The following is a 27,485-nucleotide window of genomic DNA, read 5'->3' as shown; positions in this document are numbered from 1 at the left end:
TGAGAGCCAAATCAGGGATGCTATCCCATTCACAATTGCTTCAAAAAGGAAAAAAAATATCTAGGGCTACAGCTAACCAGAGAGGTGAAAGAGCTCTACAATAAAAAGGAATGCTGAGGCAGGTGGATCACTTGAGTTCAGGAGTTCGAGACCAGCCTGGCCAACATGGTGAAACCCAGTTTCTACTAAAAATGAAAAAATTAGTTGGGCATGGTGGTGGGTGCCCATAATCCCAGCTACTTGGGAGACTGAGGCAGGAGAATCGCTTGAACCCAGGAGGAGGAGGTTGCGGTGAGCCGAGATTATACCACTGCTCTCCAGCCTGGGTGACAGAGTGCGACTCTGTCTCAAAAGAAAAAAAATAATTACAAAACACTATTTAAAGAAACCAGAGATAACACAAACAAGTGGAGAAACATTCCATGCTCATGGATAGGAAGAATTGATATCATTAAAAGGGCCATTCTGCCCAAAGTAATTTATAGATTTAATGCAATTCCTATCAATCTACCAATGACATTCTTCACAAAACTAGAAAAAAACTATTTTAAAATTCACATGGAACCAAAAAAGAGCCCAAATAACCAAGGCAATCTTAATAAAAAAGAACAAACTGGAAGTATCAACTTCAGTGTTGAATCATACCCAACTTCAAACTATACTACAGGGCTACAGTAACCAAAACAGCATGATAATGGTACAAAGACAGACACATAGACCAATGAAACAGAATAGAGAGCTCAGAAATTAGGCTGCACACTGACAACTATCTGATCTTTTACTAAGCTGACAAAAACAAGCAATGGAGAAAGGACTCCCTACAATAAATGGTGCTGGGGTAACTGGCTAGCTATATGCAGAAGACTTGAGACTGGACCCCTTCCCTACACCATATACAAAAATCAACTTAAGATGGATTAAAGATTTCAGTGTAAAACCCAAAACTATAAAAACCCTGGAAGACAACATAGGCAATACCATTCTGGATATAGGAATGGGCAAAGATCTTATGACAAAGATACCAAAAGCAATTGCAACTAAAGCAAAAATTGACAAATTGGCTCTAATTAAACTTAAGAACTTCTGCACAGCAAAAGAGACTATCAACAGAGTAAACAGAAAACCTACAGAATGGGAGAACATTTTTGCAAACTATCCATCTGGCGAAGATCTATTATCTAGCATCTGTAAAGAACTTAAATTTACAAGAAAAAAACAACCAAATTAAAAAATGGGCAAAGTACATGAACAGACATTTTTTGAAAGAACAACAAGTTCTTTTGCAGCCAACAAATATATGAAAAAAAGCTCAATGTCACTGGTCATTAGAGAAATGTAAATCGAAACCACAATACTACCTCACACCAGGCAGAATGGCTATTACTAAAAAGTCAAAAAATACGAGATGCTGGTGAGGTTGTGGAGGAAAGGGAGCATTTACACATTGTTTCTGGGAAGGTAAATTAGTTCAACCACTGTGGAAAGCAGTGTGGTGATTTCTCAAAGAGCTAAAAACAGAACTATCATTTGACTCAGTAATCCCATTACTGGGTATATTCTCAAAGGAATATAAATCATTCTACCATAAAGACACTTGCATGCTTATGTTAAGTGCAGCCCTATTTACACTAGCACATATATAGCATCAACCTAAATGCTCATCAATGACAGATTGGATAAAGAAATGTGGTACATAAACATATGGAATATTATGCAGTCATAAAAAAGAATGAGATCATGTTCTTTCCAGGGACATGGATGGAGTTGGAGGCCATTATCCTTAGCAAACTAATGCAGAAACAGAAGACCAAATACTTCATGTTCTTACATGTAAGTGGGAGCTAGATGATGAGACACATGGACACAAAGAGGGGAACAACAGACACTGGGGCCTACCAGTAGGAGGAGGGAGAGAGGATCAGGAAAAGTAACTTACGGGTGCTAGGCTTAACATCTGGGTGATGAAATAATCTGTAAAACACATCCATGACACACGTTTACCTAAGTAAAAAACCTGCCCATGTACCGCTGAGCCTAAAATAAAAAAAAGAACCATTCCTGAAAGGACTTAGAACAGAGGCATGGATCATCCTCCTCAATTTACATTAGATTTGGTTTTGGTAAGAAGCATTCTTGCCTTGTGCTTTTTGTCAACACCATCCAGTGGCTTGAAACATCAGGCAGAAAAGCCACCAGTAACTAACCCTTGGAGGAAGCTGATATTTTGTCTGAGTAAAAACTGTGAAATTTCATTCTGCTAAAACCAGTGACATTTTAAGGGTGGCATTATTGAAATGGTAGGACATTTGGATAATTTTCCCACTCCAGAGCCATTTCATATCCTTTTCTGTAAAGTGTATTCCTCTTTATAACTCCGTAAGTTTGGCATTACTATTTCTATTTTTCAGATGAGAAATTGAGGTGTGGGGAGGTTAAGTACCTGCCCCAGATCATATGGCTTTCAAAGAACTCCGATCTCTGGGGATATTTCCTAATACTTCCCTAAGTAGATGAGTAGTTGGGAGCTGAGAGCCTCTGCTTCACCCCCTTGGCCATGTGAAGCTAATCTAAGACTGGTGCCATTCCTGACCACTAGCTGCAGAAATGCTTTAAGGGTTGCATGCACTGGTAGACTAAAAGCACAGGGAAGGAAAATGGATTAAATATCCATTTCATTCCAGGACAGTTATATGTGTCTAGTTACAGAAAATGCCCTGGAGCCGCCAAGGGTTAGTTTTTATTCCTCATCTCCTTGGGGAGGATAAACTAGAAATTTTTTGAAAAAAATACTGTCGACATTGTTAAATTCTAAACCTCCCTCTGCTCATACCAGCAACTTTCCAATAGCTAAATATGAGCAATTTAGGCATAGGTTCATAAGACAAAGTGAATCCACTAATATACAGTTGTCCATTTTCCCAGCTGTTAAGGTGCAGATTTCCAGGAACTAAATTAAAATTGAAGATTGCCAGAAACTATTTCCAACCAACTGTGTCTTGGTGCTTGAGTTTAGCGAGGATGTGGCTGAAGAACTGTAAGAATATTTGTTATCCTAGTAGAGGAATGCCTCTTTAGAGACATAGATGAAATACTTTATTGCTTTTAATTACCTTACTTTTTATTATTTTAATAACATTTTATTCAATAAAAAATGGAGTTATTTTAGACCTACACAAAATGATCTGGCTTTTATAACACATAAAAGCCTAAGAAAGAGAATGAAAGTTACTTGTAATTCCACCATTCAAGGGTAACTACTGGTAGAATTCTCTGGTATATCCATCTAGTTATTAGTAAGTGAATGTGTGTGTGTGTGTGTGTGTGTATGTGTGTGAGTTTGTGAAATCAAGACCATACTATTTTTAAAAATGCCTGTTTTCACTCAGCCATATATTATGAACTATGAGCCATATATTTTGATTTTTCCTACATCACTGTTATTCTATGGCATTATTTTAAGTGGTTTCATAAATTTACTCAATTTATAAATGGTTTTACATTTTTTTGAAATATAAACAACATGCTATTAATATCTACATATATAGATATAAAAGAAAATGTATCTGATTAATTTTCTTGGAGGAGCTTCTGATTAAAGTACATTTTAAAGGCTTTAGATCCATATTCTCCCCTCCTAGAAGGTAGGAACCATTTTCACTTTTTACCCATAGCAAATTAAAGCCCCATTTCCTTGCATCCCGATCAGAACTTCTTGTTTCAGTCATTGCTAATTTGGTAAGCCAAACATGGTATTTCATTATTTAAATTTATCTATTATTAGGAAGGATAATAATTCATTTGTTATTCAGTCATTTCTTCATGAGTTGTCTGTTTATTATACTGAGCATATTTTTTGTCTTTATTTTTGTCGTGTCTGTTGCTGACTTCTAAGAGCTGTATAATTAAAGAACTTAACTCTCTTTCCATCATTAGTTTCTTTTTCATTATTCTTTTTGTGAATGCATGTGAAATTTTGTGAATGCATGTGAAAATTGTTTTAAATTTTATTGATGGCACTTCTAACTTTCAGAAGTTATGCTTTTTAGGTAGTCAGATTTAATAATTTTTATAAGTTAATTTTGTCTTTAAATGGTTGCTTACTCAGAATATCCTTCCTCCAAGATCATAAAAGTGTTCATAATATTTTCTACCAGTTTTAAAAAATGTGCTATTGTTATATTTAGTTCTTGAGTATGTCTGGAATTTGATTTGGTGTACATTATGAGGGAGGAAGTTAACATTCTCCCTTGTATTTAGCCTATCACCTAAATAATATACTAGTCTTCAAATGATTTTACATAAACCTATCACAAACCATATTTTACATGCACTTGCATTAGTTTAGAACTTTATATTTTGTTCTATTGATCTGTTTATTCTTAGACTTCTACTACAGTATTTCAATTGTTGTTGTTTTATAATATGGCTTAATGACTTTAATGAATTCCCTCTGCTTGTTATTACTTTTATCACTCTTATTATTTAAAACTTTTTTCTTGGATACTTTTATAGTTCATTCTCGCAGGAAAATTTCAGAATATTTTGTTAAACATTTTTGAAAAAATATCTCATTGGTATATTATAACTGCATTTAATATATTACATGAATCTTGGGTAATCTGAGTTCTTTTCAGTATTTAGTCTTCTTATTCAGATGTACTTTTTACTTGTGAAGTAGCTTTATTCTCTGCAGACATTTTCTGAGGTTATAATCGTTATGTCTTTTTTATTAAATTTTTTTATTTCCATAGGTTATTGGGGAACAGGTAGTGTTTGGTTACATGAGTAAGTTCCTTAGTGGTGATCTGTGAGATTTCGGTGCATATCACCTGAGCAGTATACACTGCACCCAAATTGTAGTCTTTTATACCTCACCCTCTTCCCACCCTTTCCCTCGAGTCCCTAAAGCCATTGTTTCATTCTTATGCCTTTGCATCCTCATAGCTTAGCTCCCACTTATGAGTAAGAAGATACGGTGTTTGGTTTTCCATTCCTGAATTACTTCGCTTAGATGCTCTCCAATTCCATCCAGGTTGCTGTGAATGCCATTAATTCGTTCCTCTTTATGGCTGAGTAGTATTCCCTTGTGTGTGTGTGTGTGTGTGTGTGTGTATTTATATATATATGTGTATATATATGTATATATGTGTATATAGATGTATATATATGTGTATATCTGTATACGTGTATACACATATGTATATCACAGTTTCTTTATCCACTCATTGATTGATGGGCATTTGGGTTGGTTCCACATTTTTTGCATTTGCGAATTGTGCTGCTATAAACATGCATGTGCAACTAATTCTCCACAGGGTGAAGATGTAAAATGTTCTATATTTATCAATGACTTTTTTACTATAGTAAATATATTTGTTGCTCTTACTGCCAATTAATCATGGACTCATCATCCAGTAAGATAAATGTTTAAAGGGTGCTTGGGAGTGGGGGTTGCATAAAGCATTAATAAAAGAAGTAATCTGTGGCTTCACTGATCTATGTTGATCTTCACTTTAGTTTTACTATGGCTATTATATACATGGATTTATACATAATATACTATGAGTATTTTCTAAATTAATTTCTGCCACAATAATTTTTATCTTGTGGTAAACTACTGTTTAGAAAATAGGTATTAATTTCTCCTGTTACTTGGTGGAAATTATAAATACAAGATTTCTCCCTTTAATCCATCCCTTTGCCATCTGAAACCTCACATTTCTGTAGCCCCTTGTTTTCTTCTTTCCTGGCACTGAATTGCCCTCTAAAGGGATATTCAGAACATAATGTTGTGTGCCCTGTACTGTCCATAAGTCATTCTCTCCTGAATGATTTGCTTGGATGAAAGGTGCAACTGTTATGTTACCACCTGGCTTCTTAAAGGGGAAGGGACCTTTATCCTTTCAATAATTGCAAATACTTCTAACAAAATAAACAGGTAACAAAGTGAAACTTGCTTTTCATGTATTCTCTAGGATTTCAGAAAAATATAACATTAACAAAGTTTAGAGGGTAACAGATTTCTCCCTGAACAAGAATCTGTTAAAAGTAGTACTGCATTTTCATGTCTCTCTAGCAGTGTCCCGACAGATGTTTAAGCCTGTGAAGGAGGGTGGAAATGGCAGAGAAGCCACAGGAAGTATAGTGAGTCATGCCACTCCAATTGTGAGCCCTCCATAGAATCCTAAATAAATATAGTTCGGATACTTTGCACACTAATCACCTTTAGTAGTGATATGACTCTTGGATATTTTTAGAACCCTTTTTCTAGGGCATGTTGCACCTGGGCACAGTAGAGCCAGCATTACCTGGCTATATGCCTTGTCCTGTTCGGAAGACAGCCTGTGCGGGCGGCTAACAAAAGAACCTATGTCTCTTGGCCTTTTCCATGGGTCCTTGCCCAGGGCTACCTGTTACTGGTATTTGAGTAATTTTGAACAGTGCACGATATCAGGACTTTTCCTGAATGGTCTCAAAAATTGACTTATTGCCTGCCTTTCTCAGTTATTCTGGAAAATTGGGATGGATGGGAAGATTTGGAAAATACAGTCCTTGTTTTCTGCCTAGAAATAGTCCTAAAACTGTCTTACTGTTATCAAATTAGCCACCCGGTCACTTTTATCTAGAGGACAGGATCACTGAAGGTGAAGAGTTGAGCTAAAACTGTATAAAAGTTGCTGGTATTTTTTCCATAGTGCTACAGTGATTATGAGAAAAATCATGTATTTTATCTTTAGGGGAGCCCACGTGAATTTGAGCATCTCAGATTTGATTTTCTGCTCTGATACTGTATTCTAGAGTCATTCCTTGCCCTTAAGAAGATGATTTCAAGGCCAGCAACCACACAGATAAGAATAACCAGTCTCATGAATCAATTCCATTAAAGTGTTTGTTTACATTCTTTGCTTCTAGAAATACAAACCAATTAGTTGTTTGAGAAAAGTTCTGAGAAAAACGAGAATCATGGGGACATGAGGGGAGAAGGATGTGGTGACAGATTGGTCTCTGCTCCTTTTTCTACTCTGTTTGGCATAGACTATACTTTTTGAAGTTCATGATATGATAAATCACTTAAATGTTTTTTGTGTGTTTATCCTCTGCACAGTGTTTCTGCTAGTTGGATTGGAGTCTGCTTTTGTGAAGAGCTGATTGTGGGGTAAGAGTCTGCTCAACATTTGTAGGATAAGTTCACTGGAGGAGATGCAGGGTGGAGGACACTTTTCTCCATCATAGCCAGGGAACCAGAATCGAATGAACACTTTTAGCTCACTGTCCTTCTGGGCTAGTGTCTTATCTTTGCCTTTTTGAGGTGTATAGAAGAATCATTGTTTGATTTTCTGAGCTATGACCAGCTCTCAAAAACAGGGATTTATATTTTTGGTCTCTGCAATGTCCTCATTACAGCATGAAAAAAGAAAAGGTCAGGAGACATGGAAAATGTGTTTCTCTGGGAAATTCTGGATATGAAATGAGAAGTCCTAGATCAGGAGTTTTTAAATCTTCTTGAACAAAACATAACTTAGATATCAGAGGCAAAATAATATGGTTCAAGCCCAGTCCTACTTCCATCTGTCCTGTGTATGTGGAGCATTCAGAAACTTTATGAATTTCTGCTGGAGAAAAGAAATCATAGATATGAAATTAACAATGGTAAAAAGGATAGATATGTGCAAAATAGACAAAAAAATGTTACAGAACATGCAGAAGCAGGATCCATTCATTCTAATTGTAGGGAGTAAGGAAGCACTCTAGAGAGGAGGTGGTATTTCAGTAAGATTCAAAATATTTCAACAGGTTGAGAATTTGAGGAGGGGAAGTATTTCAAATGGAGGCAATGCTTAAGCCCAAAAGCATGAAAGACCTTATTGCTGAGAATATTCACTTCCCAGAGGCATTAAATACAAGTGGAATAAGTCCAGAGTTTCTTTCTCAGACCTGACCTAACAGCAAAATATGTGATCTGCATCAAGTCAGTTTCCTCTGTGCAAAATCAGATGCAGATTGCTGTCTCAGGATGACACCTCAAAGTCCTCAGACATCACAAGACATATGCAGTGACCAAAAATGAACAGAGCCCTGGGAGGGAGAAAAGGCTTCTGTCAGATTTTGTCCTATTATATAGATAGATTTTTCAGATTACTTAGAATCTTGGAGTTACTTTTTTTTTTTATTCTGAGTATCATTTGTAGAGCTTGAAAACGTTTCTTAGAACCTATTCCGTATGGAAAGAAGCATCCTTTTGTGATTATTAGTGATCCTGATTAGTGATTATTGACTACTACTCTGAATTTTCAACAGTGGGTATACTAAACTTTCAGTACTTGTTAACATTTCAGTTAAAGCAGGCTAGGCAGAGACCTAGAGAGGACAGAGTTGCTCTGGAGTATAGATGGCTTTTTAAAAGCATCTCTTGCTTTATGCTTCCATAACAGAAAAACCAGGAGACAGTTTTTACCAGAAAATGAGATATCCGCCTTATGGTATCCAGATGTCATTCTTATTTTACGTGAAGTATGTGAGCAAGATTTTTGTTTCCCTCTGTTTTGTGTGTGTGTATATTCATCATCTGGCTGTTATCTTTGTAGAGGCACAGTCTCCTTAAAGGTTTTCCAAAAATAACACAAGAATCAAGGGAAGAGGAGGAGGATTAGAAAAGTTTTCTGGGTTAACCACTCAGCTATATCAACACTTGAATACTACATTCTGGATCAGGGAGAAATACTGAAAGCGTAAGCAAAGAAGCAAAATGGCACATGGAAAATGTGTGCCCACACACTTGTGAATGCAAAGAAGTGACTACCTGCCACAGGTGATAGTCAGTGGAGGAAAAAGTCCAGCTGAAAAGCCAGTAAAAATGCCTATCTATCTACCTGTTTGGATTCCTTTCTTCACTAGAGATGAGTGGCTCCAACGAAATCCTAGGGTTCTCATGCAGTAAGGGATCTTTGGGTTAACTAAGTTCCCATATCAAGTAATGACTAGTTCTGAAAGAGTTGAATACACCAAGTACATTTGTCACAATAACAAAAGTTGTTCCTCTTTTATCTTTATTTGGTGATTCAAAAGCAATTTAGTTGGATGATATTTTGTATTGCCATGGAGTCATCATTAGGAATATTAAGACAGTTTTTAAAAATGAATGCAAATTTTTATGCAAAGGAGGTTTAGTTTTATTGCCATAAAATGTCAGAACAACTTGAATTTGGTAAATGCCTGCTTTTTATAAAATTTAAATTTTACCAGTCCATCACTGCTTAGTGTCTTAGGGAAGAAGACGTATTATCTCACCAACTCAGGGGTGAAAATATTTAAAATGTCTCTTCAATTGGTGTGCAACAAAGCTAAATAAAAAGAAGGGAAGATTTGGGTTGTTTACATCTTGATTCAGAGAACTAACCACAAAAATGCATTGGCTTTGACAAAATCTGGCATTAAATTTGTGCATCCCCTTATAGAGTACAAAATGCTGTCATTCATGTTTATGATTTTGTATATCAACTGTCTGTGCTGCATTTCATATATATATAAGTCTTGAGGAGATTAATGATGGAGCCAAAACTAAGCAGCTATTAAATGGCCGTGATGTGACTTGAAACAGTTACTCTCACTGTAGGTACCATACTTTTTCTGCTAAACCTGATGCTTTAACTTCAAGTTTTCAGCAGAGATTTGCAAATTTTAAGAGGTTATCATCATGGCATCATCATATCTCATCATCAAGCTTAGCTTACACATGGGGCAGAGGTTGTGATGATGAGGGAGTAATCATTCCATGCCACCTCCTTTCTTCTTCATTTGAGTTAAATTTATCTAGTTATTATTGGTAAAGAAGAAGAAAAATATACCTCTTGTATTCTTTCTCTCTCTCTCTCAAAGAATCTTCTTTCTTTGGTTATTTACATTATCCTTTATATCTTCCCCACTTTATCAACTCTCCCCCAAATATCTAACCACAGAAATGCCATAGCAGCTGTTTTCTGGGACAAAATGATCCTCTGCCTTTCTGTTTGGGCACCACCCTTGCATACCAGAGATAGACAGGCTGTTCTGATCTCCCTTTGCCTAAGAATCCAGTTAACCACCTTCACAGGCTTCATTCCACAGGCCACACATCAGTCCATGGCTTCAGTAATATGGAAAGATGTAGTTGTTAAATTTCAGTGCAGAAGCAGAAACCAGTATATTTTGCCCATAATGGCAGTAAATCTAACCCTCTACCACCACACACACAAAATCACTCTCAGCTGTATCAACAAACAGAGCTTTAATTTAAAATCCAAACTCTGAGATCACAGTTTCTCAACTTTAGGAAGTCTTCTCCTAAACCGAGCAATATCAGGCTAGAAGGAGCAAGGTGGGTGGGGATTCTCTCTGGATATGGAAATATATTCTCCCACAGATATGGGATTGCCCTTCAGATCCATTCTAAACAGCACCAATGATCCATGTAAAAAGATAGACATGATAGACATAATTTAGGGAGTAGAAATTCAAATCTTCCAGAGAGTCACAGGCAAGCTGAAAATAGTAGCAAGAACAGAAACAAATGATAGTTTAGGTTAACTTTGGTATTAATGTACATCAGCTGCTGTGGCTATGTAGTCATTGGCCAGTCTCAAGGAGAGGTTCAGAATCTCTGAAACTGTGGCATGGAAGTGGTGGTGATCCACTCAAGTCCCATGTCAAGAAGGAGGTACTCATTCCTACATCTGTGGGAGTGTGGCAGTGGATGGCTCCCAGTTGATTCTCCTCCAAGAACTGGCCTCGGCCATCGGTGCTGCCTTGCCCAAGGTCATGTCCCATCCCCAAGGTCTTCCCACACGAAATGGCTGTCTTGCGTGCATCAAGGCAGCACAACTCTGGGGGCCACCACAGCCCCAGGGCTTCCTGTAGGATGGCTGGGGCCCCTGCTGTGCATGCATCATAGTCCAACCTCTCTTGGCCCAATCCTAAAAGCAGTTCTTCATAAAGCTTTTACATGCAATCTCAGAGCCTCAGAGTCTGTCCCCTGGGGATCCTGATTTACCACATATTCTTTCAAAACAGTTAAAGTGTCTGTTCATATTCTGCACCCACTCATTGATGGGGTTGTTTGTTTTTTTCTTGTAAATTTGTTTGAGTTCTTTTTAGATTCTGGATATTAGCCCTTTGTCAGATGAGTAGATTGCAAAATTTTTCTCCCATTCTGTAGGTTGCCTGCTCACTCTGATGGTAATTTATTTTGCCGTGCAGAAGCTCTTTAGTTTAATTAGATCCCATTTGTCAATTTTGGCTTCTGTTGCCATTGCTTTTGGTGTTTTAGACATGAAGTCCTTGCCCATGCCTATGTCCTGAATGGTATTGCGTAGGTTTTCTTCTAGGGTTTTTGTGGTTTTAGGTCTAACATTTAAGTCCTTAATCCATCTTGAATTAATTTTTGTATAAGGTGTAAGGAAGGGATCCAGTTTCAGCTTTCTACATATGGCTAGCCAGTTTTCCCACCCCCATTTGTTAAATAGGGAATCCTTTCCCCATTTCTTGTTTTTGTCAGGTTTGTCAGAGATCAGATAGTTGTAGATGTGTGGTATTATTTCTGAAGGCTCTGTTCTGTTCCATTGGTCTGAATCTCTGTTTTGGTACCTGTACCATGCTGTTTTGGTTACTGTAGCCTTGTAGTATAGTTTGAAGTCAGGTAGCATGATACCATCTCACACCAGTTAGAATGGTGATCGTTAAAAAGTCAGGAAACAACAGGTTCTGGAGAAGATGTGGAGAAATAGGAACACTTTTGCACTGTTGGTGGGACTGTAAACTAGTTCAACCATTGTGGAGGACAGTGTGGGGATTCCTCAGAGATCTAGAACTAGAAATACCATTTGACCCAGCCATCCCATTACTGGGTATATACCCAAAGGATTGTAAATCATAGTACTATAAAGACACATGCACACGTATGTTTATTGCAGCACTATTCACAATAGCAAAGACTTGGAACCAACCCAAATGTCCAACAATAATAGACTGGATTAAGAAAACGTGGCACATATACACCATGGAATACTATGGAGCCATAAAAAATGATGAGTTCATGTCCCTTGTAGGGACATGGATGAAGCTGGAAACCATCATTCTCAGCAAACTATTGCAAGGACAAAAAAACAAACACTGCATGTTCTCACGCATAGGTGGGAATTGAACAATGAGAACACTTGGACGCAGGAAGTGGAACATCACATACCGGGGCCTGTTGTGGGGTGAGGGGGGCTGGGAGGGATAGCATTAGGAAATATACCTAATGTAAATGACGAGTTAATGGGTGCAGCACACCAACATGGCACATGTATACATATGTAACAAACCTGCACGTTGTGCACATGTACCCTAGAACTTAAAGTATAATTAAAAAAAAAAAAGTTAAAGTATGTTAGAACATGCTGGAGAAAACAACCCCTGGATATCTGCCACAGCTATTCTCCATATTCCAGGGAATAAAACAAAACCACCTCACCAAGAATCCTTAGAATGCTCCTTGCTATGAAAGAAACGAATTTTATCTCTAAACAACCCACAGAGGTGAGATGTCAATGGCTCCACCAGCTACACCAGTAGTATGTGTCATTTCCCACTTATCATTACCAGTTCCTTTAAATGAAGAACATTTTGAGCAACAGGTTTTTTAAAGGAGTTGGAGAGTATTCTCACATTAATATCTATAGAATGATAATTAGAAAAGATAAAAGGATACTTTTATCATATGGATTAAGAATGATTTTCTTATCTAAATATGACTACAAATGTGTTCACATTTTTGTTCCATCTGTCCTGATCCCTGAGTCCTTAGCACATTGGCAACAATGATTGGCTCAATTCTTTCACAAAGTTTATTTTGACTAATTGGTTAAATTTTTAATAATTCGGATATAGTTTTTTTTTTTTTTTTTTTTTTTTTTTAAACAGAGTCTCGTTCTGTCACCCGGGCTGCAGTTGCGATGGCACGATCTCAGCTCACTGCAACCTCTGCCTCCTGGGTTCAAGTGACTCTTGTGCCTCAACCTTCCAAGTAGCTGAGATTACAGGCACACGCCACCACACCTGGCTAATTTTTGTATCTTTAGTAGAGACGGGTTTTACCATGTTGGTGAGGCTGGTCTCGAACTCCTGACCTCAGGTGATCCACCCGCCTCACCCTCCCAAAGTGTTGGGATTACAGGCGTGAGCCACTGTGCCTGGGCATATTTACAGTTTTAAAATCCCTTTTAGTCACTGTGCAGCCCCCATGATCCCATGTTCTATAGCTGACTAGAGGTTTATGAACTTTTTTAAACGTAAGTTAGGATGGCTATTAGTGGGTAAACCTTCTCTTCCAAACTCTGTGGGTGCTGCTCATAAACATGATACTTGTTCCTCAAATAAATGCTCAATTTGTTAATTTGCAATTTGGGATTTTCAAATTTATGGCTTCCAAGTTCTACATCAGATACTAAAATCAGGTTATCAGATAGGCAGGTAGTTTAGCAAAGTACATATGCTTATTTTCTTAGGTTCTAGAAAATCTGGTCTAAATCTAAACCTGGTCATTCTTTTATGCTTGGAAAATCCTCCTACTTCAGGAGTTGGGGGATGACCATAGTCAAGAACTGAAAAGAATGTTCAGAGTTGGGAGCTGAGCTGAACTTGTGGTAACGAATCTATGCCTCCCTTTCTTCAGTAGCTTTGAAGGGAAGTCACAGTCAATGAAATGAAGAAAAAAAAAGGAAGAATGTGGGGTTTGAGGCGTATTTTTATTGAAGTTTATTAAATTACATTACCTAAATGTAATTATAGTAAAATGCACATTTCTCAAATTTTGATGATCCCAGTTACACAGAACATTTACACAGAACTTTACATCACCCTAGAAAATTCCCTCGCGCTTTTTCCCAGTCAGTTCCCCACTCCCTCCCAAAAAAGTTAATCTCTGTTTCGATATCCTGACAAATTAGCTTTGCCTGTTTGCCTATTCTTTTTATTTACATATTGTTAACTTTTTAATTTCTAAAATTTTTGTGGGTACATAGTATGTATTTATGAGGGGCATGAGATGTTTTGATACAGTCTTTGCCTGTTCTTGAAATTGACATAAATGGACTCTTGTGTCTGGCTTCCCCATTGCACCTCTGCCCTCAACGTATTATCTTTGAGATTCATCCAAGTTATCACATGTATCGGTAGTTAATTCATTTTTTCTGCTTTGGTTGACTCATTTTGCATTGTATAAATATACCACAATTTGTTTATCCATTTTCCTTTTAATGGACATCATGTTGCTTTTAGTTTTTGGCTATTGTGAATAAAGCTGCAAAGAACAATCTTGTACAAGTTACTTGGTGGACATATGTTTTCATTTCTTTTGGGTGAACACCAAGGAGAGGAATTGCAAGATCGTAAGTAACATTTGGCATTTTTAGGCTTTTTAATTTTAACCATTCTAGTGGGTGTATAGTGGTATCTCATTGTAGCTTTAACTTTTATTTTCCTGATTACTCACATGTTGAGCATTCTTATATCTTCTTTTGTGAAATGTCTGTCCAAATCTTTTGCCCATTTTTATTGGGTTATTTGTTTTGTTTAAAAACTACTTAATTGCAAGAATTCTTTATATTGCCCAAATACATATCGTTTGTGAAACATATGTATTTTTAGTGTTCTATTTTTTTTTTTTGAGACGGAGTCTTGCTCTGTTGCCCAGGCTGGAGTGCAGTGGTGCGATCTTGGCTCACTGCAAGCTCCGCCTCCCGGGTTCATGCCATTCTCCTGCCTCAGCCTCCTGAGTAGCTGGGACTATAGGCGCCTGCCATCACGCCCGGCTACTTTTTTTTTTTTTGTATTTTTAGTAGAGACGGGGTTTCACCGTGTTAGCCAGGATGGTCCGGATCTCCTGACCTCGTGATCCTCGCGCCTCGGCCTAGTATTCTATTTTATATCGTTCCTTGACTTTTTATTTTTACCCTTTGCTTTATTCTTCAGTAGTTGATCCTAGGGATCCATCTATCTATCTATCTATCTATCTATCTATCTATCTATCTATCTATGTATCTATCCATCCATCCATCCATCCATCTGATATGGTTTGGCTGTGTCCTTACCGAAATGTCATCTTGAATTGTAATCCCCATAATCCCTATGTGTCTAGGGAGAGATCTGGTGGGGGTTGATTGGATCATGGGGGTAGTTTCCCCATGCTGTTCTCATGATAGTGAATGAGTTCTCACGAGATCTGATGGTTTTATAAAGGGCTCTTCCTTCTTCGCTCATCACTATTCTCTCTCCTGCCGCCCTGTGAAGAAGGTCCTTGCTTCTGCTTTGCCTTCTCACATGATCGTAAGTTTCCTGAGGTCTCTCCAGCCATGTGCAACTATGAGTTAATCAAACCTCTTTCCTTCGTATATTACCCAGTCTCAGGATATTTCTTTATAGCAGTGTGAAAACAGACTAATACACTATTTATCTGTATTAATTTGTTCTCACACTGCTATAAAGAAATACCTGAGCCTGGGTAATTTATAAAGAGGTTTAATTGGCCCCCAGTTCTGCAGGGTGTATAGGAAGCAAGGCAGTGTCTGCTTCTGGGGAGGCTTCAGGGAGCTTTGACTCATGGCAGAAGGCAAAGCAGGAGCAGGTGTATTACATGGCAGGAGAAGGACCAAGGTGGGGGGTGCCACACACTTGTAAACAACCAGATCTCACGAGAACTCACTATCATAAGAACATTGCCAAGGGGTATGGTGTTAAACTATTCATGAGAAACTGCCTCCATGATCCAATCATCTCCCACCAGGCCCTACCTCCAACATTGGGGATTACAATTCAACATGAGAATTGGGTAGGGACACAGATCCAAACTATATCACTGTCTATATATCTCTTAGTATAGTATGTCTTGAACTTTATGTGTAATGTAAGAGGCTTACAACAGTATAATACCATTTGCCTTCCCAGTCTTTTTTGCTATTACTGTCGTATAATTTGCTGCTATATAGATTACAAACCCCTAATTACAAGGCTTTTATTTTAACTTTAAATCTGTTTTTTCAAAGATATTAGGAAAAAATAGTATTACGTATTTATCTACTTCTTTACCATTTCAGGTACTTTTTAAGCTTTCCTGTAGAACTAAGTTATCAAGTTTCAGACTAGTATGATTTCAGCATGAAAACCTGTTTTTTTTTTTTTTTTTTTAGCATTTCTCACAACGTAGGTCTACTGGCAAAGGATTCTTCTCAGCTTTAGTTGATATGAATATGTCTTCATTTCATCTTTGCTTTGAAGGATATTATTACTAGATATATGTTCTTTTTCTGGATATAGAGAACTCTAGGTTGACAGACCTTGTGTGTGTGTGTTTTGAAATGAGGCTGCACTGTTTTCCTGAAAATCAGCCATTTTTTTTTATTATTGTACTTCTACATATTGTTTATTTGTCTGTTTTTAGGATATTCTTTCTTTTCAGAATGTGTTGTTATGTGCTTACAATGTGTGGCCGTTATTCCCACAGACTTTTGATTTTTTTTTCCTATCACTTTCTTCTGAGACCGAGTACAGAGTCCAATGACAGCTTGCTGTTTTCTCATAGGCCTCTAGTGCTCTGCTCAGTATTTTCTTCAGTCATTTTTTTTTTTGCTTCATTTTGGATTGTTTCTTCCTGTGCTAAATTCAACATTAGGGCCTGCTCCAAGACAGTTTCTGTTGACTGATATTTTTCCTGAATATAGGTCATACCATCTTATTTCTTTGCCTATCTCATGATATTTTGTTGAAAACCAGTCATTTTAGCAAATAGATGATGTCAAAATTCTGGATTCTTACTTTCCCCCCAAAGGTTGTTGTCATTTTGTTGTTGCTGCTGCTCTTGCTGTTTTAGTAAGTTGCCTAGACTTATTCTGCAGAACTTGTTTCCCCACTGATGTCAGGCAGCTATTTTTTTCTTTTTTTTTTTTAATTCTTATTTTCATTTTACTAGCCTGGGTTCCCACGGGATTCCCCTGCATCTTGTAGTTTAGTGGTCACCCAAAGACTGGTCAGATGTTGTGCTCAAACACCTCAAGCCAGCAGAGCTTCCACCTTCTGCTGATGTGGTAACAGGAGCATGTTCCAAGTTCAGACAGTTTTCAAGTCTTCCCTGGGTTTTACTTTCAACTGGGCCCTTCTGGGTGTCCCATGAGCATGTGTGTAGCATCCCATCCCCGTCTGCCTGGGGTCTTATCTAGGCTTTCTGCAGTGCTCTCATTTCTAGGATCTCTTTGCTAAATGTCTGGCTAGTCTGCCAGCCTGAAATGCCCCCGATCTGTGAGAGCAACCTCAGACTATGAGGCATGTGTGTTACTAGCCTTATTATTTTACTGACAGTCCCACTAGACACGAGTGAGCCCTGCTAGGAGTGAAGCTGCTGGTTTTCATGACCAGCCCTGCCCTGGTAGAACTACCAAGACCCTTGAGCTGGAGAGATGATGGGAGCAGCCCCAGGCAAGAATACCATGGAGGCCCAAAGTCTATCTGTCTTTTATTTAATGGGTAAATCCTTCTCAGTTGGTTTGTTTGCTTATTTTCTTGTCTTTGCTTAGTTTTCAAAGGCCTAAAATTGTTATTTTTGACAATGTTATCCAATTTTACAGTCATTTCTTGGGGAGATTTACTGATTATCATGGTGAGAAATCTTTCTCTGACAGATATATTTTGACAAAGGAGAGGCAGAAAAAGACAAAGGCTATGATAGCATGAGAAAGCTACTAGGAACAGTTTTCCCTGTGATTTGTAAACCTGTAACTAAACCTCCAGGCTTTTGGTTCAAGGAGCTGTAAGGATTAAACATCCCCGAATACAGTTATTTTAACCAAATGACTCGACGATGAAACAGGTTTAATAATATGCATAATTATTGTGTCATGGGAATTAAATACTAGGATAAAGAATTTACAGAAAATATATCATATTTTATACATATTTATATGTATCTTTTTGTAATACACATGATATATACTACAAAAATTATAATTACTACCATATCTAGCTCAGAAAATCTTTAGATTTTTTTAAAATTATGAGAATGATTAAGGATCCTAGAAGACTATCAATATCAGCATTTTTCCTTGATGCTTCACTTAATGGAAATTGGTGCCATCCTAAATTAAATGTTAAATAGTAAGTGTTGTATTCCTTGCTCTTTGTTTCTGTCAGATATTAGGGACAGAGACAAGTTATCAGCCCCTCCATCTCTGCTCCAACTCTCTGAAACCTTTATGAGGACCTCATGTTCCCTTAACTGGAGGCAAAGCCCTTTCCTTCCAGCAGCAGCGAGGAGAGGCGGTGAACACGCAGGGTGATGGCCTCTCAACCCCCTGCCATGTGGCTGGCTCACAGCCTTCTCAGCTTGCATGTGAAAAAGGAGTTTATGGGCCACCTGATGGCCCTGGCTCTGAAGAGATGGAAGAAACAAGGGGTCTTCTAAGCGTCAGGAAGCTGATGCTGTCTGTTGAGAGGCTTCTCTGACATCACTCCCTCACCTTCTACCACCCTGCTCACCTGCCTCCAGGCTCTAGCAACTGGGCTACTTGCCGCGGGCCTCTAGGCCAGCATGGAAATCCCCACAGCAGAGGGAAATCCCAGCAGAGGCCTAGGGTCCCCAAGGATAGCATGCAGGCCTGGAGGGGCTGGGGAGAGGGGCAGGAGGGCCAGCTGCTTCCCACTGCTGCCTCAGGAAAATGAGGCAGAACTAGACTATCCTAAAGACCTTACTGATTTTCACTGAACTTCTGTTCAGCTTTTGTTGGCCCTTATCTTCTGGTCTCCTGTAAGATTTTTTTCTGGGCATCAAGGATTGGACTAACCAAGCTTCACCTTTTGTTTTTGTTACTTGTGTGTTTCGTCTCTTTTCCTCAAATATCAGGTTAGGGTGTGTGGCGGTGACATTACTTCTTCAGCTATTTATCTTTCTATAATATTTCCATAGTCCTCTCCCTATTTCTCTGCAGTTTCAGCCTTTTTTGTTTGTTGTTTGTTTTTGAGACAGGGTCTCATTCTGTCACCCAAACTGGAGTACAGTGGCACGATCATAGCTCACTGCAACCTTTGCCTCTGGAGGTTCAAGCCATTCTCCCACCTTAGCCTCCTGAGTAGCTGGGACTACAGGTGCATATCACCATGCCTGGCTAATTTTTGTATTTTTAATAGAGATGAAGTTTCACCATGTAGCCTAGGCTGGTCTTGAACCCCTGGGTTCAAGCGATCTGCCTGACTCAGCCTCCCAACGTGGTAAGATTACAGGCATGAGCCACTGCATCTGGCCTCTGCAGGTTCAGCTTTTAATATTTTGCACGAGTTCATCAGGTCAAATTTTAGTTGTGTTCCAAATAGAATACAAAACATTCTGGTAATTGACGAGTACAGTGTTTCTCAATCATAGCTGCTTATTAGAATCACTAGGTGGACGAGGCTATTTGAAAATCCTGGTACCCAGGCTGTACACTCTGGTCCAGTGAGACCAGAATCTCTGGTTGTGCAATCCAGGTAGTCTGTACTAAGAAACAGTGCTCTCATGGCAAGTAATACCTTTATGTGGCACACTAATATTTGTCTTTGCTGTTTTATCTTAAACCAACATTTACCACATCCTCAAAGGATACATTAGAATATTAATTGGCAAAGAGTATAGCCATGCAGAAACTGAATTATATCATGGTCTCCATTGCAGTCTGTAAATACTTCTGAGGTCGTGTTGGCAGAATGCCTTTCAGTGTCCTTGTATTTGCTAGCTGCTTTGGTGGCTGACAGCCTAAAAGAGACTTGCCTCAGGAGAGCAAATAAGAAAAAACAAATAAAACTGTAGATATGGATGTCGTCACATTTCAAAGACTGCTGGCCCATTATGTAAAATGCAATGACACATTATTACAAATATTTACCTTAATTTTTCCCCCCTGTAGTCTTTGTTCTCATTTAAACACTGAATGGCCATTGACTTCTTTTGAAAAAGAAAAAGAAAAATGGTAAGTCTTTCACTACCTTTCTCTTCAGACTTGACTTAGATTTCCTAGTCCCGCTGTTTGAGATGACTTGATTGCCTCTGTTTCAAGCTCTGTGGTTCATTTCTTCAGCCTCTAAGCTGTTTCAGCTTCCTTTAGGCCATGGATAGAAAGCTGGTGAAAATCGGCAAATATTTTGCATAAATAGTTGTTGGACCCCAAACCTCCACAAACCAACTTTTGAGTTTTTTTCTTTTTAAGGAGAAATGGGTAGAGAAGTGAGAACCAGTTTTATGGATCTGGTGCCTAGCAAGGTGCCTGGCAGGCAGTCTGAGAGCCCCAGATATTTGTTGAGAACCTGAAACACAGTGCTCGATGGAGTTCTCCTCTATTTCTAATCGCGGATGGTATTCGGGGGTTAGCAAGCAGAAAGAATTTCCCGGCATGAGAGAGGTAAAAGGGAAGAATGTCTCATCCAGAATTTTGGCAATTCCATTTTAGAATTTTCTTTTAATTGGAGGGGCATATTGTTTGTTTGCTTTTTAAAGAAAAGAATCACAGTTATTTTAGGATGTGTGATCCTGGAAGATATTATATTCAGATCTATTTAAAAGAAAAACATTTAACTTTTTTCCAAGACTCAGTCCCTGCTCTAAGTTTTCTCATAGTGCGTAAGTTTGTCAGGCATGTTTCTATATTCATTGGAAAGAATAAATGACAGTTGGAAATAGAAGGATTGGGGCAGCTGCAAATGACAGGCAGGCTGCACACTGGAAATGCCATGGGGTAGAATTCCTGAGACTGCAGTACAAGCAGTATTCCCTAGACCTGTGAACTTCAGTGGTCCTGAGAAGGAGACTGGACCTTCTTCATGCCAGTAATGACAGTGAAGAATCACAGTTGTCATTTCCACCTCTGCTTACAATATTCGGTTGACTAGTGTTTAAGGGTATTCAGTAATTGTATTCTCAGATCTGGTCCATGCATTGCTACCTTAGTCCACTTTAGGGGTAATAGCATAGGCATAGGAAGAACATCTACTGACCTGGTAGAAAAGATGCTCTGATAACATATGCATCGTTTATTTGGACAATAATAACATTCCAAGGAGCAAAGGTCAGACTGTGCCTTTCATCATTTTCTCAGACAGTCTTCTTTTAGCCACAGCACCTCAGCTGGGGCAACCATGAAGTACAGCTAATTTTCCAGTAGAGGACAGAACTGTGGTTTGCTATGTAGAATAATCTCAGCCTGCTATAATTAATATTATTTTTCTCCCTGTTCTTCCTGTCATTCCCATCATGATATAATAGCTCACTACTACCCAAGAGTCACAGAAAACTAGATAACTAGATGGAATTGTTTGGCCTGGTCCTCTGGATAAACATCTCTTGCCATTGTCACACTGAGGGTCCCCTCTTAGCCCAGTCACCTGGTTTCTCCATATGATTCTGGAATCTGGTTGTCTGTTGGACTCTCATAGAAGTTCCTCTGGAGGAAAGACCGTCCACTCAGTCTACAGCCAAGCCAGGATAGGATAGGTATGAAGAGTGCTGGGTTTTCAGGAAGCAGGAGAAAGATCACCAGGCTGAGGGGCTTCCCCAGGTCCTTTCTGAAAACAGATTTGCTAGATCCTCATGACAGTTCAAACTGAGTGTTTAAGGACTTGTACTCATATACTGAATATTATGTCTCTATAATCAGGGGAGTGGACAAGGTATAGAACATAATGTCAGACATAAGTCTCCCCATTCTGGGAATTTATAGCCTGCTGAAAAAATTTCCATGAAATTATTAAACACCAGTGTCTTGGAGGATGTCCCCAGTGTATTTGGAATGACCAGGAAGATGCTGTGGAGGAAGCAGGATTTGAATTGGGCCTTGAAACCTGAACAGACTGTGCCTGGGTGGAGGGACGGGAAGAACTAACTGCATAGTAGTAGACTGCAATAGCTTGGACCAAACCTGAGGTTCAGAGCTCATGCTGGGAAAGTGGACCCACTATAGTGACTTGTACACATTTGTCCAGGGAGATAACGACTGTGCCTAGAGGACTGGCAAGGCTTTGGTCTTTCACTAGAATATGTCCTCGGACCCACTGTAAACCCATTCCAGCATGTTTTGCTAAGGGCAGGATGTCCTGGAGCATGTACAGCAACAGACAGAATGACAGAACAGGACATAGGGAGCTATCTATTACCACTCATACTAACAGCATCTTGCTTGCCATTTGGCTTGACTTAATTTCTTTTGAGCTCTGTGCCTATCTGTGGGTTGGAGACAATTTGTGTTGTTGCTCCTTTGTGGAGCTTCTCCTCCCCCCGAGGAAGAAAGCATCATTTATATCCAGGACAGCTCTCCAGATTATTCTGGAGACAGCTCAAAAAACCTGTCTCCTCAGGGAGAATGCCTGACAAGGTCCTCTTCAGGGAAGGGCTTCTCAAATTTTACCATGCATAGGACACACCTGGAGGTCTTGTTAAAAAGGTCTTAACTCATTAGGACTGAGATGTCACCCAACATCCTGCCTTTCTAATAGGCCCTCTGGTGATGCTGATGGTCCAAGGATGACACTTAGTAGTGAGGCTTGCGGCACTGTACAGATGCTTATGGCAACAGGGTGGCTCAGGAAGGTTGAGCGTGGGAAGGAGCAGGATAGAGCAGAAATACTTTTCATATGAGACTATAGCCGCCCAGGCTCCCACATAGACTTTACAATGAGTCATGGGCACTATCCACCCAGACTCACACTTCCCATTAGAAAGTGCTCCCCGAGGATGTGCCTACGCTGAAGTCTCAAGAAGATCATGCCTTTCCCATAAGAAGCCCGGGGAAGAAGCTTATGACTTTCCAGCAGGGAAAGGCAGCGGCAAGCTGAATGCTCAGGTGGTTTTGCCTTTTCTCCCCATCAATGGCAAGTTGGAAGGTGGAGCTGGTGGCTTGTTCCACTCTGTTCAGCTCAGCTGGTGTTTATTGCCTATCTGCTCTGGGCCCAACACTGCTAAGTATATGGATCTCTGGTGAAGGGTGAAAAGTGGTCTCTGCTGTCCAGGGGCTTACTGTATGATTGGGACAAATAAACTGAACACTTACAAGCAATGAAAGAAAAACATGAGAGAGTAGGGATATAATTATGTGCTAAATTGAATATAATCAAGTGCCAAACCCATGACAGAAGCAGTAAGTGCTGTGAAAAGTCAGGGAGGGTTTGAATGTTGGCTTAGCTCCCTGAATCCAGAGTTACAGTTTCTAAATTGAGGGTTCTATTGTTTGACTTGCATTGGGTTTTAAAGATCTTGTGGATAGAGAATTGGGAGCTACTGGGTGGGGTGGGGAGAAAAAGCAGAGTCCAGCACAGAAACACAAGCCACTTGTTTTAGGTACTAAGAGCCCCACAGTGAATGCAAATCATACCCCCACCCACCACCCCAGACCTCCCCATCTCTCCAGTGAATGAAACATTTCTTTAAATGAAACCACCACTAGATAATGATATCAATGCTACACTGTGCTGGGTTTGACTGGACACTCTCATAGCTTGTAGGGGATTCAGCCTAAAGTGAGTTCTTTCCATAGAAGGTGAATAATAATGAGGCTTAAAGGGAAAGGCCATCTCAGGATCTCAGGGCAGATACTTTTTAGTTTGTGGATGAGACAGACAAAAGAAGAAGGGGCTGGGAAGGGCCCTCGAAGGCAGAGAGGGAATTCTTATCTTTCATTTTGTCCATGAAAGCCCTGTGGAAGAACAATGCCATTCAGCACTTATACAGCACTGTAAACTCTTTCGTAAACATCAGGCGGCAAAGTCACATGCTCCTCCTGGACAATGAATGTACATTGGTCTCCTCCTGTTTCTGAGAATGATGATGGGCACACTAGCAGGAAACACTGGTGCATCCCTTGCCCTGCCCAACTGGGAGTACAGGCTAATCTCAGCATGGCCAAATCTATCAGGCAGCTCAGCTGTCTCATGTGTGAACCAAGCACCAGTCCTCCACAGCCCCCAGCGGAAGAAACATATATGAAATTTTCTAATGTTTCCCATGGGAAATCCCTCTCCCAACTAGGATTGAAGGAAAGGGTGGCACCTCACCTCCTTCCTGCTGGTGGGATCAGGATACTCACTCTCAGCTCCCTTCAAAGAGGTCCTCATATACCCTCTTCTTTTGCACCGTGACTGAATATCCTTTTCTGGACTAGTGGCCCTGAAATCATGGGACCCCTTGTTGAACAGCTCCTTTGTGGAGTATGTTTCATGCTCATGTTGGTATCTGAGACTGATTGTGGGGTTGCCTCAGGCTAGACAGAGGCAGGAGGAGTGCTCCTGAAGCATTGGCTCACACCAGCAGCTGTTTTCCATAGATGGAAAAACGCTGATAGGAAACTGCCAAAATCCACCTGCAGGCTGTGCTTGAAAGAAATCCTTTGCATTTGCTGATCTCACTTTTTCTATCAGTAGCATGTGGAGCCCCAGCAGTCCCCAGGTGGGATTCCTGGGCCAATTTTAGCCCACACAGGCATTTTCTTTAGCTGGCCTTGTGGCTTGTAAAAATCTGAATTACTTCTTCACATTTTTAAATGACTGTAGTTCCCTGTAAAAATCTGGGTTTCTGGTTTCTCTTGAAAAACTGTGAGGGATCTGGCAACCCAGGCCATGCTCCTGCTTGGGCCAGTTGATCTGAAACAGAGGTACCCCTGCACGCTGCTTGTTCCTGCACCCATGTGCTCTCCCAGCCCAGCCTCTGTGAGCATTTGGCTCTTTGACCTTGAAGAGTCACAAGAACAGCCTGCATTTACTTCATCTTGATTTGATGGATGATGTTCCTCAGGTAGGCAAGGAGTCAAGGTAGGGTGGGGCAGGGGTAATTTGGGAAAAGTAGAATCCTGATTTTAGGATAGCTTAGAAATGATCTAAAGGCAGATAAATAATGTATGTGCTTCTCAGATCATCTGTGGAGAAGGAGCAGTTTGTTAGTTGCTTTCCAATCCATCCCAGATCTGTGCTTTTGTAAAATGCAATATGCACTAATTCCTACAAAAAAGGGATAGAAGACATATGACATAGAAGGCAGATTTTATTATTAGATTTTATAGACACAAAATTCATTTTAACAAACATGATCAGAATAAGCATAGGAAAAAGAAAATATTTAAAAACATGGTGCATTTGATGTATACAAATATAATGTAACTATAGAGGATCACTTTCGTACTAATAGCCCTTTTTCTCTCTGCAATTATAAACTAAGGAAACTATGAGTAAAATAGGAATATATCATGTTAAATACCCATAGACATACTTTTAATGAACACAATGTATATCAATATTTAAGGTTCTTTTTTTAAAATTATACTTTAAGTTCTAGGGTACATGTGCACAATGTGCAGGTTTGTTACCTATGTATACATGTGCCATGTTGGTGTGCTGTACCCATTAACTCGTCATTGGCATTAGGTATATCTCCTAATGCTATCCCTCCCCCTTCCCCTCACCCAGTGACAGGCCCCGGTGTGTCATGTTCCCCTTCCTGTGTCCAGGTGTTCTCGTTGTTCATTTCCCACCTATGAGTGAGAACATGCGGCGTTTGGTTTTTTGTCCTTGCGATAGTTTGCTGAGAATGATGGTTTCCAGCTTCATCCATGTCCCTACAAAGCACGTGAACTCATCATTTTTTATGACTGCATAGTATTCCATGGTGTATATGTGCCACATTTTCTTAATCCAGTCTATCACTGATGGACATTTGGGTTGGTTCCAAGTCTTTGCTATTGTGAATAGTGGCGCAATAAACATACGTGTGCATGTGTCTTTATAGCAGTATGATTTATAATCCTTTGGGTATATACCCAGTAATGGGATGGTTGGGTCAAATGGTATTTCTAGTTCTAGATCTTCGAGGAATCGCCACACTGTCTACCACAATGGTTGAACCAATGCAATGTATAAGCATGCTTCTCGCTTGTCGGTTGTTGTAGCATAGCTGGAGTGGCAATGACACCACTCATTTCCTGTTTCTGTTTCGTTCAGTAACATTTAGAGTAGCTTGAGTACAGTCTCACAGAGTTACCTTGATATGAAAGAGAATAAATACCAAAGTAACTTCAGTAAACTCAGGATATTCATTTTTAACTTTTTGTAGAAATGAAGCAAGTGATTCAGTATTTGCAAAACTCACCTTTGATCCTTCACCAGTAGCATATTTGAACAATTTATCCTTTAAAGTTAAAATTAACTTTACTTTTAATGAAAGAAAGGGATTTTGGATTTATGAATTTCCTATTTGTAAAATATTCTTATGATGAAAAGTTAAATTTAAAACTTTCTACAAAATTTCTAAGGTATAGGGCAATATCCTGGCAGATGTAAAATATTCTTATGATGGAAAGTTGCATTTAAAACTTTCTACAGAATTTCTAAGATATAGGGCAATATCCTGGCAGATGTAAAATATTCTTATAATGGAAAGTTAAATTTAAAACTGTTTACAAAATTTCTAAGGTATAGGGAAATATCCTGGCAGGTATATAATTTCAAGATCATCACCTACTTCATTATTATTTATTATTAACTTACGGGACTTTCAGCACTCTTTAGAAACTCTGTTTGTCCAGGCTTCTAGCTTTTTGCACTTTAATCTTATCTGCCATTGAAAACATGTCACATTCTTTATTTGCATGGAAGTATTAAGATCTTTAAAAAAGATCAACGTTACCAAAGAAATAAGCATGACAGACTGTCTAATTCATATCTTTGGAATGTTGGGGCTTGTTTCTTATCTTGTCTGGAACACAATAGGGTTGTTGAATAGTTCATATATTACTGATAAAACCTTTCTCCTTGATAACTCATATCCCAGTAGTTGTGTATAAGCAGCTTCCATATCATTACAAATAAAAAGAGTAATATCAAATTTAGTGCATTAGCTTGTAGGTAATTTACAATTGCACTAAATACACCTTTTAGTCCTGCTAACATTTTTGTTTTGTAACAAGACTTTCTTGATAAGGAAGCAATTCATTGATTTATATTGTGGTGTAGCAATTCCAGAATGCTTTTCTGCTATTGTAGCTATGCCATCTGAACATAATCCCAAAATTTAAACTCTAGGTCACATTCGTTGATTATTCCATCATGGTTCTATGTAATTTAGACCTGGTTGTGTTGTTGGAAATGAAACTTAGAAAACAAATTCTTTATGTTACTGTCATGTTCAGTTTGCACATATGTTAAAGGGATTGACATTTTAGCAATACTTATGCACCTGTCTAGTTGCCATGAAAATTACATTGTTAGCTGTATTTTTAAAAACTATTTGCTTGTTATTATTGGCCTGCATAACATTGTGCTATGGTGTCACTGGAAAATGGCAGTTGTGCTACCTTGCCTCGTGAGATTCTTTTAGTGTTTCCAATCCAGCATCTTTGATTCAGTCCTTTATTAATATTTCAACAAATGTATGTGGGTCTTTAGATTTAGCAATTCAAAGTGTTCTTTTGTAGGAAGCCCAC

At 39.0% G+C, this 27,485-nt stretch overlaps 1 long non-coding RNA gene across 1 annotated transcript in view, besides 2 other annotated features; it reads left to right on the top strand.

Annotated features, from left to right (window-relative positions):
* Positions 1-27,485, top strand: part of LOC105370777 (uncharacterized) — a 556,255-nt gene that overhangs the window by 127,221 nt on the left and 401,549 nt on the right. The window lies entirely within an intron of this gene.
* Positions 17,973-18,472: an enhancer, noted in NCBI's record as "H3K4me1 hESC enhancer chr15:39567569-39568068 (GRCh37/hg19 assembly coordinates)". NCBI's record gives its function as "activates a minimal SCP1, AML or CMV promoter by ChIP-STARR-seq in primed H9 embryonic stem cells {active_cell/tissue: H9 hESC(primed)}" and the evidence as "EXISTENCE:reporter gene assay evidence [ECO:0000049][PMID:30033119]".
* Positions 18,473-18,974: an enhancer, noted in NCBI's record as "H3K4me1 hESC enhancer chr15:39567067-39567568 (GRCh37/hg19 assembly coordinates)". NCBI's record gives its function as "activates a minimal SCP1, AML or CMV promoter by ChIP-STARR-seq in primed H9 embryonic stem cells {active_cell/tissue: H9 hESC(primed)}" and the evidence as "EXISTENCE:reporter gene assay evidence [ECO:0000049][PMID:30033119]".

The sequence above is a fragment of the Homo sapiens genome, chromosome 15 (assembly GCF_000001405.40).
Source record: "Homo sapiens chromosome 15, GRCh38.p14 Primary Assembly".
In the NCBI taxonomy this organism is placed as follows: domain Eukaryota; kingdom Metazoa; phylum Chordata; class Mammalia; order Primates; family Hominidae; genus Homo; species Homo sapiens.
This window is presented reverse-complemented; position numbering and strand designations above follow the sequence as displayed.